Source organism: Homo sapiens, chromosome 12, assembly GCF_000001405.40.
Source record: "Homo sapiens chromosome 12, GRCh38.p14 Primary Assembly".
In the NCBI taxonomy this organism is placed as follows: Eukaryota; Metazoa; Chordata; class Mammalia; order Primates; family Hominidae; genus Homo; species Homo sapiens.
The window spans coordinates 2,585,555-2,598,258 of NC_000012.12; the positions used below are offsets into that span (position 1 = coordinate 2,585,555).

The 12,704-nt window shown below is 47.0% G+C and overlaps 1 protein-coding gene across 56 annotated transcripts in view; it reads left to right on the forward strand.

Annotated features, from left to right (window-relative positions):
* Positions 1-12,704, forward strand: part of CACNA1C (calcium voltage-gated channel subunit alpha1 C) — a 727,171-nt gene that overhangs the window by 614,775 nt on the left and 99,692 nt on the right. For 33 of the 56 annotated variants that reach the window (XM_017019926.3, XM_017019934.3, XM_017019946.3 and 30 more), the window contains 4 exons: positions 281-350; positions 7,659-7,791; positions 10,320-10,449; positions 11,676-11,735. In XM_017019926.3, the coding sequence (XP_016875415.1) occupies positions 281-350; positions 7,659-7,791; positions 10,320-10,449; positions 11,676-11,735 (393 nt within the window). Of the gene's footprint in view, positions 1-280; positions 351-7,658; positions 7,792-10,319; positions 10,450-11,675; positions 11,736-11,882; positions 11,943-12,704 lie in introns of all 56 variants that reach the window. The other 23 variants (XM_017019949.3, XM_017019947.3, XM_017019950.3 and 20 more) reach the window with 2 other exon arrangements.

Here is a 12,704-nt window from a genome sequence, read left to right on the forward strand (position 1 = left end):
GCCTTCCCAGGCCAGAACCCTGTGGAGAAGAGGAGAGAAAGAAAGACACCCAGTGGAAAGAAAGCCAGTGGGGATGAACAGGAGAGCTGGGAGGGGGAAGATAAGGCAGATTGGCTGGATCCCAGCCATCTGCTGATGTCTTGAAGGAGATATGCAAAGTGACAAGTACCTATTTTTGAGCTAAGTCACTGACTAAAATGCAACTTCAAGGCTACTGCAAGCCTCTTAACTTGGGGACGTATCTAACTATTCTTCCCCCTTCTCCCCTGTGACTGTCTAGATCAACATGGATGACCTCCAGCCCAATGAAAATGAGGATAAGAGCCCCTACCCCAACCCAGAAACTACAGGTACCAGTCCCACTGCCTAACCTGGGATTGGGAGATTGGGGGCAGAGATCTAAATTCTAAAGCCACGTGGGAGTGGCCATATATTAGGGACCATGGTTCCAGTGTCCCTCTGTAAGTACCTTCCACTGCTGAGTGTCTTCTATCTCTATATTTAAGCATCATCAGTCAGCATCTGGGAGGCAGGTTTGTTTCTGGTTTCCTCATAATGAGATCACATTTGAGCAGTGCTTTTGTGTCCTTTCCAAGTTGGATTCAGTGTACATTTAAATTTTTGTTACATTACATGTTGTAAAATCATCATTAATTTATATAATGTATTAGTATGGCATATGTTGCAACATTATGCTCACTTAATATTAATAGTCAATCCCAAGTCTGCCTTGCCCCTACTCAGGAGGCAGTGCCGAGTGCAGGGACAGCTGCCACCACAGATGTCCCACTTGTTGCTTTAGGCAATGATTTCAGGTCTCATTATAAAAGGCGCGCTTACTGACTCCATCTTTTTATGCTTCTATCTGATACCTAAATTGGCAGGCAGTCTGCTTCTCAAGAGCTTTAATGTCAGAGATCAGAGGTCCTCCCTCCAGGCTTCACTTCCCTGCTCCCTGAAATCCCATACCCTGTGCAAGGCCTGGGCTTGCCTTCCTCTGACCTAGGATTGCAGATATTATCGCCAGTTTCAAGCTTGAAGTCAATAACATGCTATCAAGGGACTGTTGATTTTACTGACATTTCCTTGTTCCTGTAGGTTAGGCTATATTTGGGTTGTTCACCAAGTTAGGTGGCTGAGAACCTCCTACATTTATGAGCAAAGCTCGGTTTCCCTTTTTGCTTTCCCTCCGCTGGTTCTCTGCTTAGAACACTCACAGGCATCCTTGGGAACCAGACTCCCTGTGGTCACACCATCCTCACTCCCCTCCTCCTGCAAGGGAATAGGATGTGGTTTCCTGGAGCTTGGATAGAAAGAACAGGAAGGGCGTTTTCATATGCCCGGCATTAAGGCTTTGAAGTTCTTAAAACCCCTTCTAGGGTGAAACCGTTAGGGAATTTCAACGACGTACTAGAATTATTGAACAAATGCAATGGGAGGATCTTGCCTTGATCCTGAAGCAACAAATACACTTTAAAATGACGTTTTAGAGGGAAATGGGGGAAATTGAATATGGACTGGGAACTAAATGATTGAAAGTAGTTTTGTTAATCTTGTTGGTATAATATTTTGTAGTTCTGTTTTTAAACTGCTGCAGTGTTTATGGCCAGAGTCTAAATGTTTACGAGTTGCTTTGCTTTTAAAATATTCCAACAAAAAAAAAATGGGGACAGAGAAGATAAATGGAACAAGATTAGCAAAATGTCCAAAGTTGTTGAAGCTGGTTATATATATGAGGTTTAGTATGTGAGACTGTACTCTTGTGTAAATCTTTAAGGTTTAAAATGAAAGACAGTAATAAAACAAATTCCTTAGAGCCCTGAGAAGAGCCCTCCCATGGGGCCAGCCTCCAGGATGGGCCTCCCTGCACACACAACAGGGCAGATCTAGCATGAGGGTCTTTTCACACAGGCACCCAGCTGCAGCCAGGCCTGTACGGCAGATACACCTCTTGCATCTTCAACAAAAATCTCAAATTCTATTAATCTATACTCTTGGCTTTTCTTTTCTTTGTTGCTCTAATGAAATCAAAGAGAAGAATGTTAATTTTAAAAAAAAAGGGCTAATGAGGATTTTGTCACCAGGTCGGCCATCCTAGAAATGCCTCTCACGTAGCTACCCAGTGGCTCTGAGGACTGGGGGATGCTTACGCTTTCCAGCTGAAAAGCTCTTCCCACCCTCTGCTGAGGCCTCAGGATTCTTGAGATTTTTGAGTGTACGGCCCGCTCCCCGTCATTTCTGTTGGTTACATGTGTCTCTTTACTTTCGTGTTGAGACCTCTGGTCCATACCCTGAGGCTGCCCTGACTGCCCCACCACGTACACCAGCCACCACTCCGGCCTCTGAAGCCAGCCCCAAGCATGCCCATTTGTGCACTATCCCTGGTTTCCAGGTCCTCATCCAGGAGGTCCAAAGGGCAGCATGCTCTTAAAGCTGGTGGCCCCACACATCACTCTGCCCCCAAAGGCTAAGTTAGCTTGTGCTTCCCAGCTCTTCCTGCCTTCCCATTTCCTCCCTTCCCTGCCTCCACAGTCAGCTCCTGGATCCTTTAGTGCCAGGTGCAGCAGAAGTTCCCAGAGACTCCTCCGAAGATCACGTGGCCTGTTGTCTCTGTTCTGGTCAATCTCTGGTTCCTTCCTGCTTCTTGTTCTCCCGAACCACGAATGGCAAAGATCCTGATCTACCATTGTGCTCCCAACCGCTGCCCCTTCCAGGCCGCTGGCCCCTGCCATGCCTGGTTCATGCAGGTACCCCTTAGCAGGCAGCACTGGTGAGTGTCCCTCCTGCTCTGCCTTCAGCCAGACCACTAGGGAGAAAGGGCCGGTGTCAGGGAGCACACTGCCATGCTCTCCTGCTCCCTCCCTGTCTCTCTCTTGCCCTGTCTCCTAGGCTTGCCCCCTGCCCTCTCCCTCTCTCCTGGGCTGTCCAGATTGCACCCAAAGTGATGTATCAGAGTGGCCAAGTGGGAGCTGGACTCCAGAGTGCACTCTGCTGGCTGCAGCTTCAATTACCCTCGCATGACCGCGAATACTCAGAGGAGGGGCCTGTTTCTAATTCAACAAGGGGCCATCGAGGCCAGCCATGGCCCTAGAATCCTTCCCTCTCTGTTTCATCTGAAAAGCTCGCCAGCTGCTTTCAACCTCCCAGATCGGTATACCCTAATTATAGAGAAAAACCCAACTCACTGAAAAGGAAAGCATTGTGCCCAGATGAGTGGAAGCTAATTCTACTTTTGTTTAATTTATTAATTTATTTGAGTGAGCATGCAGATGTTTGCAAGAGCCACTAAGGACTTAAAGTTAACAGGTACACACTAAAAAAAAAGGAGTGCCACCAGACACTGAGTAGTCAGCACCGCCTGTGCTGGGGGAGGCTTTCATTGCTGCAGAGGGTTCAAGGACAAGGAGAGCCATGAGGTGGTGGAGTCTGGGGGCTTCATGCAGAAGGGTGGTCTTGACTGAGCTTTGAGTCAGGGAGTTGGAGAGGCTGAAGGAGTTTTTTCAGGATCGTACAATCATCAGAGATGCTGAGAGTTGGGAGGAACCTTGTAGATATTCATGAACTACTCATGAAGCATTTAATGTGTGCCAGGCACTGTGCTAGGTACCAGGGACATGGGGGTCCTTGTTGTGGGCAAACAGGGAAGACCCCCACCCTCCTGGAACTGACATATCAGTGGGGAGACAGGCAGCAGACAAACCAACCAAAAAGGTGACATCACATGATGTGAAGATAGTAAAATCAAGGATTGTGTTAGGGGATACTCAGGGGTCAGGCTGCTTTGACTGTGTGGTCAGCAAAGGCTTCTCTGAGGACACAGCATTTGACTGGAACCTGAAGGATTCAAAAGAACTAGACATGGAATCGGAGCGAAGAGCTCTCTAGGTGGAGACCCTGAGTGCAGAGTCTCTTACAGGGATGCACTTGGCTGTGGGGACTCCAAAGAGGGCCAGTGTGCCTGCAGCAGAGAGAACCAAGGGATAGTGCCCTGAGGCGAGAGGCCGGGGCAGGGCAGGAGGGCAGGGCAGAAGGCGCAGGGCCATGCGGGAGGCTGGGTCTGATCCAGTGCCCTAGAGGGCCACCAGAACGTCTGAGCAGAGGAGGCCCTGACCTGATGTCCGACTCACCCTTTCAGAGATTCCCTCTGAGCGGTGTGAATAAAGAGCAGTGGTGTTCGAGAGCAGAATGGGGGCAGGGAGGATACTTGCGCAGTATCCAGGCAGAGAGGATGGCAGCTTGGACAGGGGATGGTGCCGGAGATGCAGAGAAGTGGTCAGGCTTGGGGTACATTTTGCAGGTAGGACCAGCTGGATTCACTCACAGCTTAGATGTTGGAGAGAGGGAAAGAGAAATGTAGGGTGATTCTGAGGTTTTCTAATTGAGCCAGCGAAGAGAAAATCCCCAATGCAGAAACTGTATCCACCACCTGTGCTCCTTGTGCCCCAAGGCACTGCTCCGGGTGTCTGGCCCTTACCAACCAGGCACTCCCTTCAGCTGGTAGCAGACTCTTGCGCCCTGCTAGAAACTAAGCTCCTTGAGGACAAGAACCATGGCTTTGTCTTCTCAGCCTTGGGCTCAATACTCTGTAGGCACTAGATCCTACAAATGTCTTTACTTTATGTGGCCAAGAGCAAAATCACAGAAGTGAGGATGAGCATCAGATGGAGGGGGGCAAGGGTTGCCAAGGACCAAGGGTGGGGCTTTGAGTGCTACCCTGGTTTTACTTTGGAATCCTCTGACCTGCCTTCTGAAATGCAGCAGCAACTCCAGCGTGCAGCAGCACCTCACTTCCGATGCTTTTTTCCAAACCTCCAAGAACAAAAATTAGAAAAGAAAGATCCCTAATGTATTCTACTGGCATTTGGGAGTAGGAGGCTAGGTGGTTCAGTTGCCAACCCCAAAATGAGCCTTGCCTGACTTTCCCTGATCTGTCAGCATCCCTCCTCATCCATAATACCTGCTAAGCATCACGTGCTGTCAAAGTTGTGTTCCTTTACAAATCTGAGTTTGTCCTTCAGAAATCGTTTCCTCTTAAGTACTGTGCCTGAGGTTCAGCTGCTGTGTGTCTGAATGGACCAGCTAACTTGCTTCTCCCCAGGAATGGAGCTCAGCATGGAGCTTCATAAACGGGGGGGAGCTCGTGCAGATGTAAGAGCCTGCACCGTTTTCCATTAGGAAGTTCGAATGGCACAAAGCTATAGTAAATATGGGTTTCTGTAAACACAAATGATTAAAATAAGCATAAAATTACCTGTTATCAAATTATCATGAAGAAGAAAGTGTTGGGTCATTTCGAGCAAAACTGAAAAGAATACAAACACCTAGGCAGGAATTTAAGATCCTTCTCAATTAAATTTCACTTGAAATACCATGATTTAGGCCAATTCTGGTTTTACTTATTCGACTTTAAGTAGAAGACTTTTCTTTTACATACCAAGGGTTGGGTGTCACAAGAACTCCAACTCTTGTCCTGTAGACAGTTTTTCATCTTGGGCCTCTCTTCTGCTGAAAAAATATTAATTGTCTTGCTGGTCAGCTCTAATTACCCTAGGGAAAGAATCTGATTGATGTCTGTATGGTACTGGCCCTCCAAAAAAGCCTTGGGTCCCTAAATGCTTGAATGCTTTTTGCTTGATAAAGAATTGCTTTCTGTGCCAGGCATTTTTTTTTTCTTTGCAGTACCTGGCTTTGTTTGAACCAGAAGAGGGAGAACATGCAGAGGCACAGCTGTGTCCATGAGACGAGCATCCCATAACTATCTTTCTCCAGCCAGACTAGTATCCCCTTCACCTTCATCTTATACAGAGTCCCCTTCCTTCTGACCGGTGTGGAAGTTCAATCATCATCAAGAAATAAGGGCTTCTAGTGCCAGGCAAAGCTTTTCTTTCCAGGGTTTTCAGCACATAGGGAGAAGGGACAGACATTTAAAATCAGTCATCAAGGTACTGGAGGCAGAGGTTCTGCTGGGATCCATGGAAAGGTCATTCCCTGGAGCGTGAGTACTCAGGAAAGTTGGAAGGAGGATGCTATCTGGATTGGGGGTCCTTGTGTGCTCTGCAGAGAGGGAGATGAAGCGCAGCTCAAACAGAGAGAGAGAGAGCATGAGGAAGGACGGAGCACACAGTGAGCTTGTCAGCTCACTAGGGCTGCCATAACCAGTGACCACACACTGGGCAGCTTAAACAGCAGAAATGCATCCTTTTACAGTTCTAGAGGCTGGAAGTCCAAAATCAAGGGGTCTGCAGGGCCAAGCGCCTTCTGAAAGGCTCTTGGGAAGAATCCTCACTTGCCTCTCCTAACTTCTTGTGGTTGCCGGCAGTCCTTGGCTTGTAGATGCATCCCTCCAATCTCTGCCTCTGTCTTCACATGGCCTTCTTCCCTAAGTGTGTTTTTGTGTCTCTGTGCCTGTCTTGATGAGGATAACAGTCATTACATTTAGGGCCCATCCTAGCGCAGAATAACTTCTTCATAACCAATTACATCTGCAAAGGCCATATTTCCAAATAAGGTCACATTGCAAAGTTCTAGGTAGGCATGAGTTTGCGGGGGAAACTGTTCAACCCACTGTAGTGAAGTGCTCAGAAAATAGTTTCGTGTGAGTGGACAGTTTGTTAGGGAATAATAGGTGGTAAGGATCTGACTGAGAAAGATGTTGAGCATTAATTTACAGGCTTCGAGTCTGTCCCATAGGTAGAGGTTGTAATAAAAGCAGCAAACACTTACTTACAGAGCGGCTGCTATGTGCCAGGCACCGTTCTGAGGTATAGAGGTACTGTTATTATTATTCCACCTTAGATGGAGAAACTGAGGCACAGAGAGACTCAATAAAATGCCCACGGCTAGAAAGAAACAGAGCCAGGATTCTGGTCCAGGCGATTGGCTGGAGAGTCTGCTCTTCACTCCCATGTTGTTACTTTCCCCTCTGAGCATCTTCAACACATTTGAGCAGCCCAGGATGGGCAGTGCTTCCCGTCATGAGCGTTGTGCTGGCAAGCACAGGAATAAGCTGTCTGACTTTGGTCCACATTAAATGTGGCCACTGGCTGGGAGAACGAAGGCGCTTCTTTAATTGGTGTCAGTGTCTAAACCTTTGCATGAAGGGCCTGCTGTGGTCAGTAGTATTGCCCTGTTATCTCGACAGCACATGAATTTTTTTTTTTTTTTTTTTTTAGTTGCAGAAATTGGGAAAGTGTTGGTTTCTAATTCCTGGAACTTCCAAGAGTGAGGTTATTTGCAAGGGATTCCACAAGCCAACTCAGCCATACCCTTTCCCCAACCTGCGGCCTAGATAGATGAGTAACACCTGGCAGTGCCCTGTCCTACCTGGTCACCTTTTTTCATACCTTACAACTAGGATGACCAACGACCCCAGTTTGCCCAGAACTAGGGGGTTTCCTGGGATGTGGGAATTTTAGTTTTAAAACCAGAACAAGTTGGTCGCCCTACTTACAATCCCCCTTATTGTGCACTGCCAGATACGACTTCTCCAGCAGAGATGAGCTGCAGCAGCACCCACAGGGAGACAGCAGAATGTCTGTCTTGGTTGGTACCCTACATTTTCAGAGCCATAATCATGTCTGCCAGTAGGAAGGTCTCTGAAAGTGGTAAAATAAGTGGGAGTGCTGGAGTTATTTAGAATGGTGCTGTTCTTCTTACAGGAGAAGAGGATGAGGAGGAGCCAGAGATGCCTGTCGGCCCTCGCCCACGACCACTCTCTGAGCTTCACCTTAAGGAAAAGGCAGTGCCCATGCCAGAAGCCAGCGCGTTTTTCATCTTCAGCTCTAACAACAGGTGTGCAGCAATGGTGGGGAAGGTGGGGTCCTGCTCTCTCTAGTACCAGCCTGGCAGTTGCCTGTATTTTACCTGAACCTCTGGATGGAGACTGAGACTCTCCCAGCTCCTTGCAAATTGTATAAACAGGCACTCATTTAGGGAAGAGTCCTGGATTTTGAATCAGAAGACTTGTGTTTATTTTTCTCTCCACTTTTTGAAATGTTTAAACTCTATTTCTATTCTTTGGGTGATTACCCTTGATAATTTACTAATTCTATTTAACTTAACAAAATGTGATGTTAAACAATATCAAGAACCTCCTCCTGTATAATAGAGTGACCTTAGACTATTTTAACTCACTCATCTGCTCCTTACTTACATGGAATTGTCGTTAGTATTTTAGTCCAACTTTTATTTTTAATCCAACAAGTTAGTGAGTCTTACTGTTATATAGATACTGTGTGTTTGGATATATGTACACCTTACCATTTTATTTGTTCACCATTTTTTTACTCATTTCAGTCCATCCTTTAGCTAGCATTTTCTTTCTTCCTAAAGTACATTCTTTAGAGGCTCCTTTAGTTCCGTAATGGCAAATTCAGTGGGCCTCTACTTACCTATAACTGTTTCACTTCTTGCTCTTGAAAGATAGTTTTGCTGTGTACACGATTTTAGACAGACAATTTTTGTCCTGCAGCACAAGAAAGGTGTTATTCCACTGTAAAGTCAGCTGTCATTCCAACTATGGTTTCTTTGTGAGTAACCTAACGTTTATTTGTAGCTGCTTTTAACATATTCTGTTGCCTTTGTGGTTGTACAGATTTACTACCATGTGTCAAGGTGTGGATTTCTTTCCATTTGTCTTGCTTAGAATACATTCTGCTTCCTAAGCCTATGTATTTAGATTTTTATTCAGTTATTGAAAAAGTACAGCCATAATGTTTAAATATTGCTTCTTTTTAATTCTATATTTCTTCCTTCTGACACTCCAATTGGACATCTGTTAGACATTTTCATTCTGTCCTCCCTGTTTCTTAGAGGGTCTTACATATCTTTCATCTCCTTGTCTTTCTGTATTCTGGGAAATTTCTTCAACTGTATCTTCCAGTTTCTTAATTCTATTTTCAACTTAATCTATATTACTGTTTAAACCAATTTTTTATCTTGACCATTATATGTTTTTGTTTCAGTCAGTTCCATTTGTTGCTTGATTTTCCAGATCCATCTCTAAATCTAGTAGTTTCTATCAATTCCTCATCTTTGTGATTTAGTCCTTTATTTCATTAAATATTTCAAATATAGTTGTTTTATAGTCTATATCTAATATTTCCAATACCTCCAGTCTTTGGAATCTAAATCACTTATCCAGTGTTTCTTCAGATTTCCCATCTTAGGGGCTTGTCCTTTTGTGCATCTGATGATCTTTGATTGTGACCCCAACACTTCCTCTTCATTTGTGAGAGTCCTGAAGACCTAAAGTAGGTCTGGGGAGACTTTCTTCCAGATGCCCCTTGGAGGTGTTGGCTTGGCCTAAAATTCCCAGGCTTTCCTGCCCCACCTCAAGACTGGCTTAACCTGCAATTTCTTGACAGCACTGCTGTTATTGGCTTCCATCTTCAAGCAATTCTGCCCTCCTGGCTGGCTCTCTCTCCATACGTAGCCTCAGCTCAGTGGAGGTTGGTGGGAGGGGTTGTTGGTTTGAAGCAGATGATTCTTACAGCCATCTCCTAACTCTTATAAACCAGAATTGTCTGAGAGAGTTTGGCCCTTCGAGGGTTTGGTGCTTCTGCAGCAGGAGGGCTTCTCAGAGCATTTAGTCAACCATAATGCCAGGAGCAGAAGTCTGAAGGCCTGGGTTGAAGCCCTGACTCTCCCACACTAAGGCTGTGTTTCTGGGCAAGCCTCTCCTACTTGGGTTTCAGTGTTCTTACCTGTGAAATGAAGATGATGACACCCATCCCTTCCTTCCTACATTGCTGTCAAGATGAGATGGTGTACAAGACACTTTGGCATTTAGGAACCTAGCATTTTTGGTGCTATCACTGAGTGCCTAGAAGCTCAGTTGGGTAATTGTGCTGGGGCATGGAAGTGAATTGCACATTTAAAGCTATTACACAGGAGCAGATCACCTACAGAGAGCCGGTTTGGCTGGCCTCTCAGCATACCCAGCTCCGGGTAGTCCTATTGTGCCTTATGCATAAGCATAGAGTTGATCTCATAAAGTGATTTCTTTTCAATGATAGGGAAAATAAGTCCCCAAACAAAAGCCAGTTATGAATGTCAGAGCAGGATTTGGGAATTCAGAGATTCTCAAAGGTCTCAGATGTAACCTTCTAAAATATCAAAGATGATATGTGCACCATGGGGGTGAGCAGTTGTCATTACCAAGCAGCAGTAAGACTTCAGAATGAAGAGGTCACTTCAGGCCAACAAGCACCTGTTGCCAGCTGCTGGGGAGAGCTGAGGAGAGGGGCTCCCAAGAGCCGACTGGTGCTTCCCCTTGTCTGCCTTGACTTGTCTCTCCTCCTGTCCCCTCTCCCGTACAGGTTTCGCCTCCAGTGCCACCGCATTGTCAATGACACGATCTTCACCAACCTGATCCTCTTCTTCATTCTGCTCAGCAGCATTTCCCTGGCTGCTGAGGACCCGGTCCAGCACACCTCCTTCAGGAACCATGTATGCATCGCCTGTGTCTTCTGCACTCCTTCCCCCTGGGGCTGTGCCAGGCCCACAGCTTCTGTTGCTGACATCATTGTTCAATCAGGAGCCCAATTCTAGGTGTCATAATTAGATCCACAACTAACATTTCATTAAGAGAGTAGGGCTTTGATAGAAAACCACCCTAGGACCACAAGCAAATAAAAGAGCATGTACCCAAATGCTCAGGCTGGTTTGATAATTGGCAAAGATCAGGACTTTCATTGCCTGTGGATGTTCCCCAGGAAGCTCTAGTTCCCTGCAAACTTAGTAAAATGTGGCCACTGACTACATGCCCTCCCTTGCTCCCAGCATGCTCTGACCAGAAGGGGAGCATTGGCAAATAGGTGCCAATGATATGGCTGACCTTACCTAAAAGAGAGTCTTGGTACCTTTGGTAGAGTAGAACCAAATGTGAGGACCCACCCAAGGCTCTGGTGAACAATATTAAAGGCCAGTTTAAGAATTGCTCTATCTCAAAACCTCAAAACTTTGTCAAGTCCCAACCAAGTGGGCATGAAGACAGCCCGCTGATCTAAAGCCATACCCATGCCAAACCACTCTGCGCTCCTGGGGCCTGCTTGGTCCAGGGCTGTCTTACCGAGGTTAGCAGGTGTTGGCCCCATCCCTGATCCATCACCTGAAATATAATAAGTATGCAGTCCTGGAGCCGGTCCTCAGCCTGTGCAGACCTCACCTGAAGGATGCACCTCCCTTGCCCCAGAGGACATAACCCAGGAATAGATGTCCACCATCACAGGAAGCTGGCCAGCTCAGTCCCACCAACGTGAGCGAAGCATTTTGAATCTCCCTGCAAAAAGACAAACCCCATTCTCTGTCCTTTTGACAAGTATCTTAGTGGTCTGATTTGGGTTTGTAAGTAAATTGGATTAATGGGAAAAGCATCCAACCAGATGCTGCTCAGATCCAGTACCAGCTGAGGCATGCCCTGGAAGCTCACCTCACTTATCTGGGGGCTTCAAGGGAAGCCGCTGTGCTGCCTGAGGCTAGCCCCGCCTCAGGATGTCTGTGTGTGTGCCGCTTGCCCCCCATGTCCATCTGTGTCCCTGTGCAAAGGCTTAAGTGCCAGGCATCTCATTTTGAAGTGTGGCCCCTTTTCTGGTGAACATCCACTGACCTCTCTTCCCGTCCTGCTTTTCTCCCTTCCCCATCCCATCCCCACCCTGTTCCTTTTTGTTTTGCAGATTCTGTTTTATTTTGATATTGTTTTTACCACCATTTTCACCATTGAAATTGCTCTGAAGGTAAAGCCCCCATCCCCTTCTGCTCCTCCTGTCCCCCTTGTGCCAGCACCAGGTCTCTGCCGCTGTCTGTCGCTAACACACATGCTCCTTCCTGTTGGTGTGGGGTTCACTCTCAGAGCCACTAATCCAATTATGCTTATTTTTCAGATCCTAGGCAATGCAGACTATGTCTTCACTAGTATCTTTACATTAGAAATTATCCTTAAGGTAATGCAACCTGGGCAATGCATCCTCTGTCGCTTTCTTTGTCTATCTCTGCTCTGTGTGGCTGGATCTTTTGTCTTTTCTGTTTCTTTCACTCTCTCTTTTCTTTACTCCCAAGCCTGAAATTGGAAAAATGAGTGCCCCTCACTTTGTGTGATGCACTTTGCCCAGACTTAGAAGCCAGGAGCAGCCTACCCCACCACAGCTCCTCCCTCCAGCCACCCCTAAGCAGTCCGTGGCCTGGAAGGGACACGTGTTGGCTGTGCCAACATTAAGGCTGCCATTTCACTGGTTGGGGCTGCAGCCGTCAGCAGCGCCAGACATACATGCCCACATGCACCAGCTCCGGTTAACTGATACCTGAGCCCACGTAGGACTCTCCTTCCCTCCTCCTGCTTCATACACTCTGAAAGTGGGAAACCTCCTGGGGCGTGAAAGAATCACTTGAGCTACTCTCTTTGGATGCCCATCCTTAGCACCTTCCTCAGTACTTGCAGCAGATATTGGGTCTAAGCTGGAGTTGGGGCTGTGTCACAGTGATCACAGGCCTACTGTGAGATGTGGAGCTGGTCTCCCAGCTGAGGGCTTTTAGCAGGGCCATTACAGACTACTGCCGACCCTCAGTCACCTGCTGCAAAGCTTTGTCACAGTGCCCCTTGCCCTGAGCGTGGGGGAGGGAGAATTGTGCTGGAGAGCTGAGTACAGCAGGATGAGAGCAGGTGCCGCAAGGAACCTGAGCACCCAGCCCCCAGCCCCCAGCCCTTG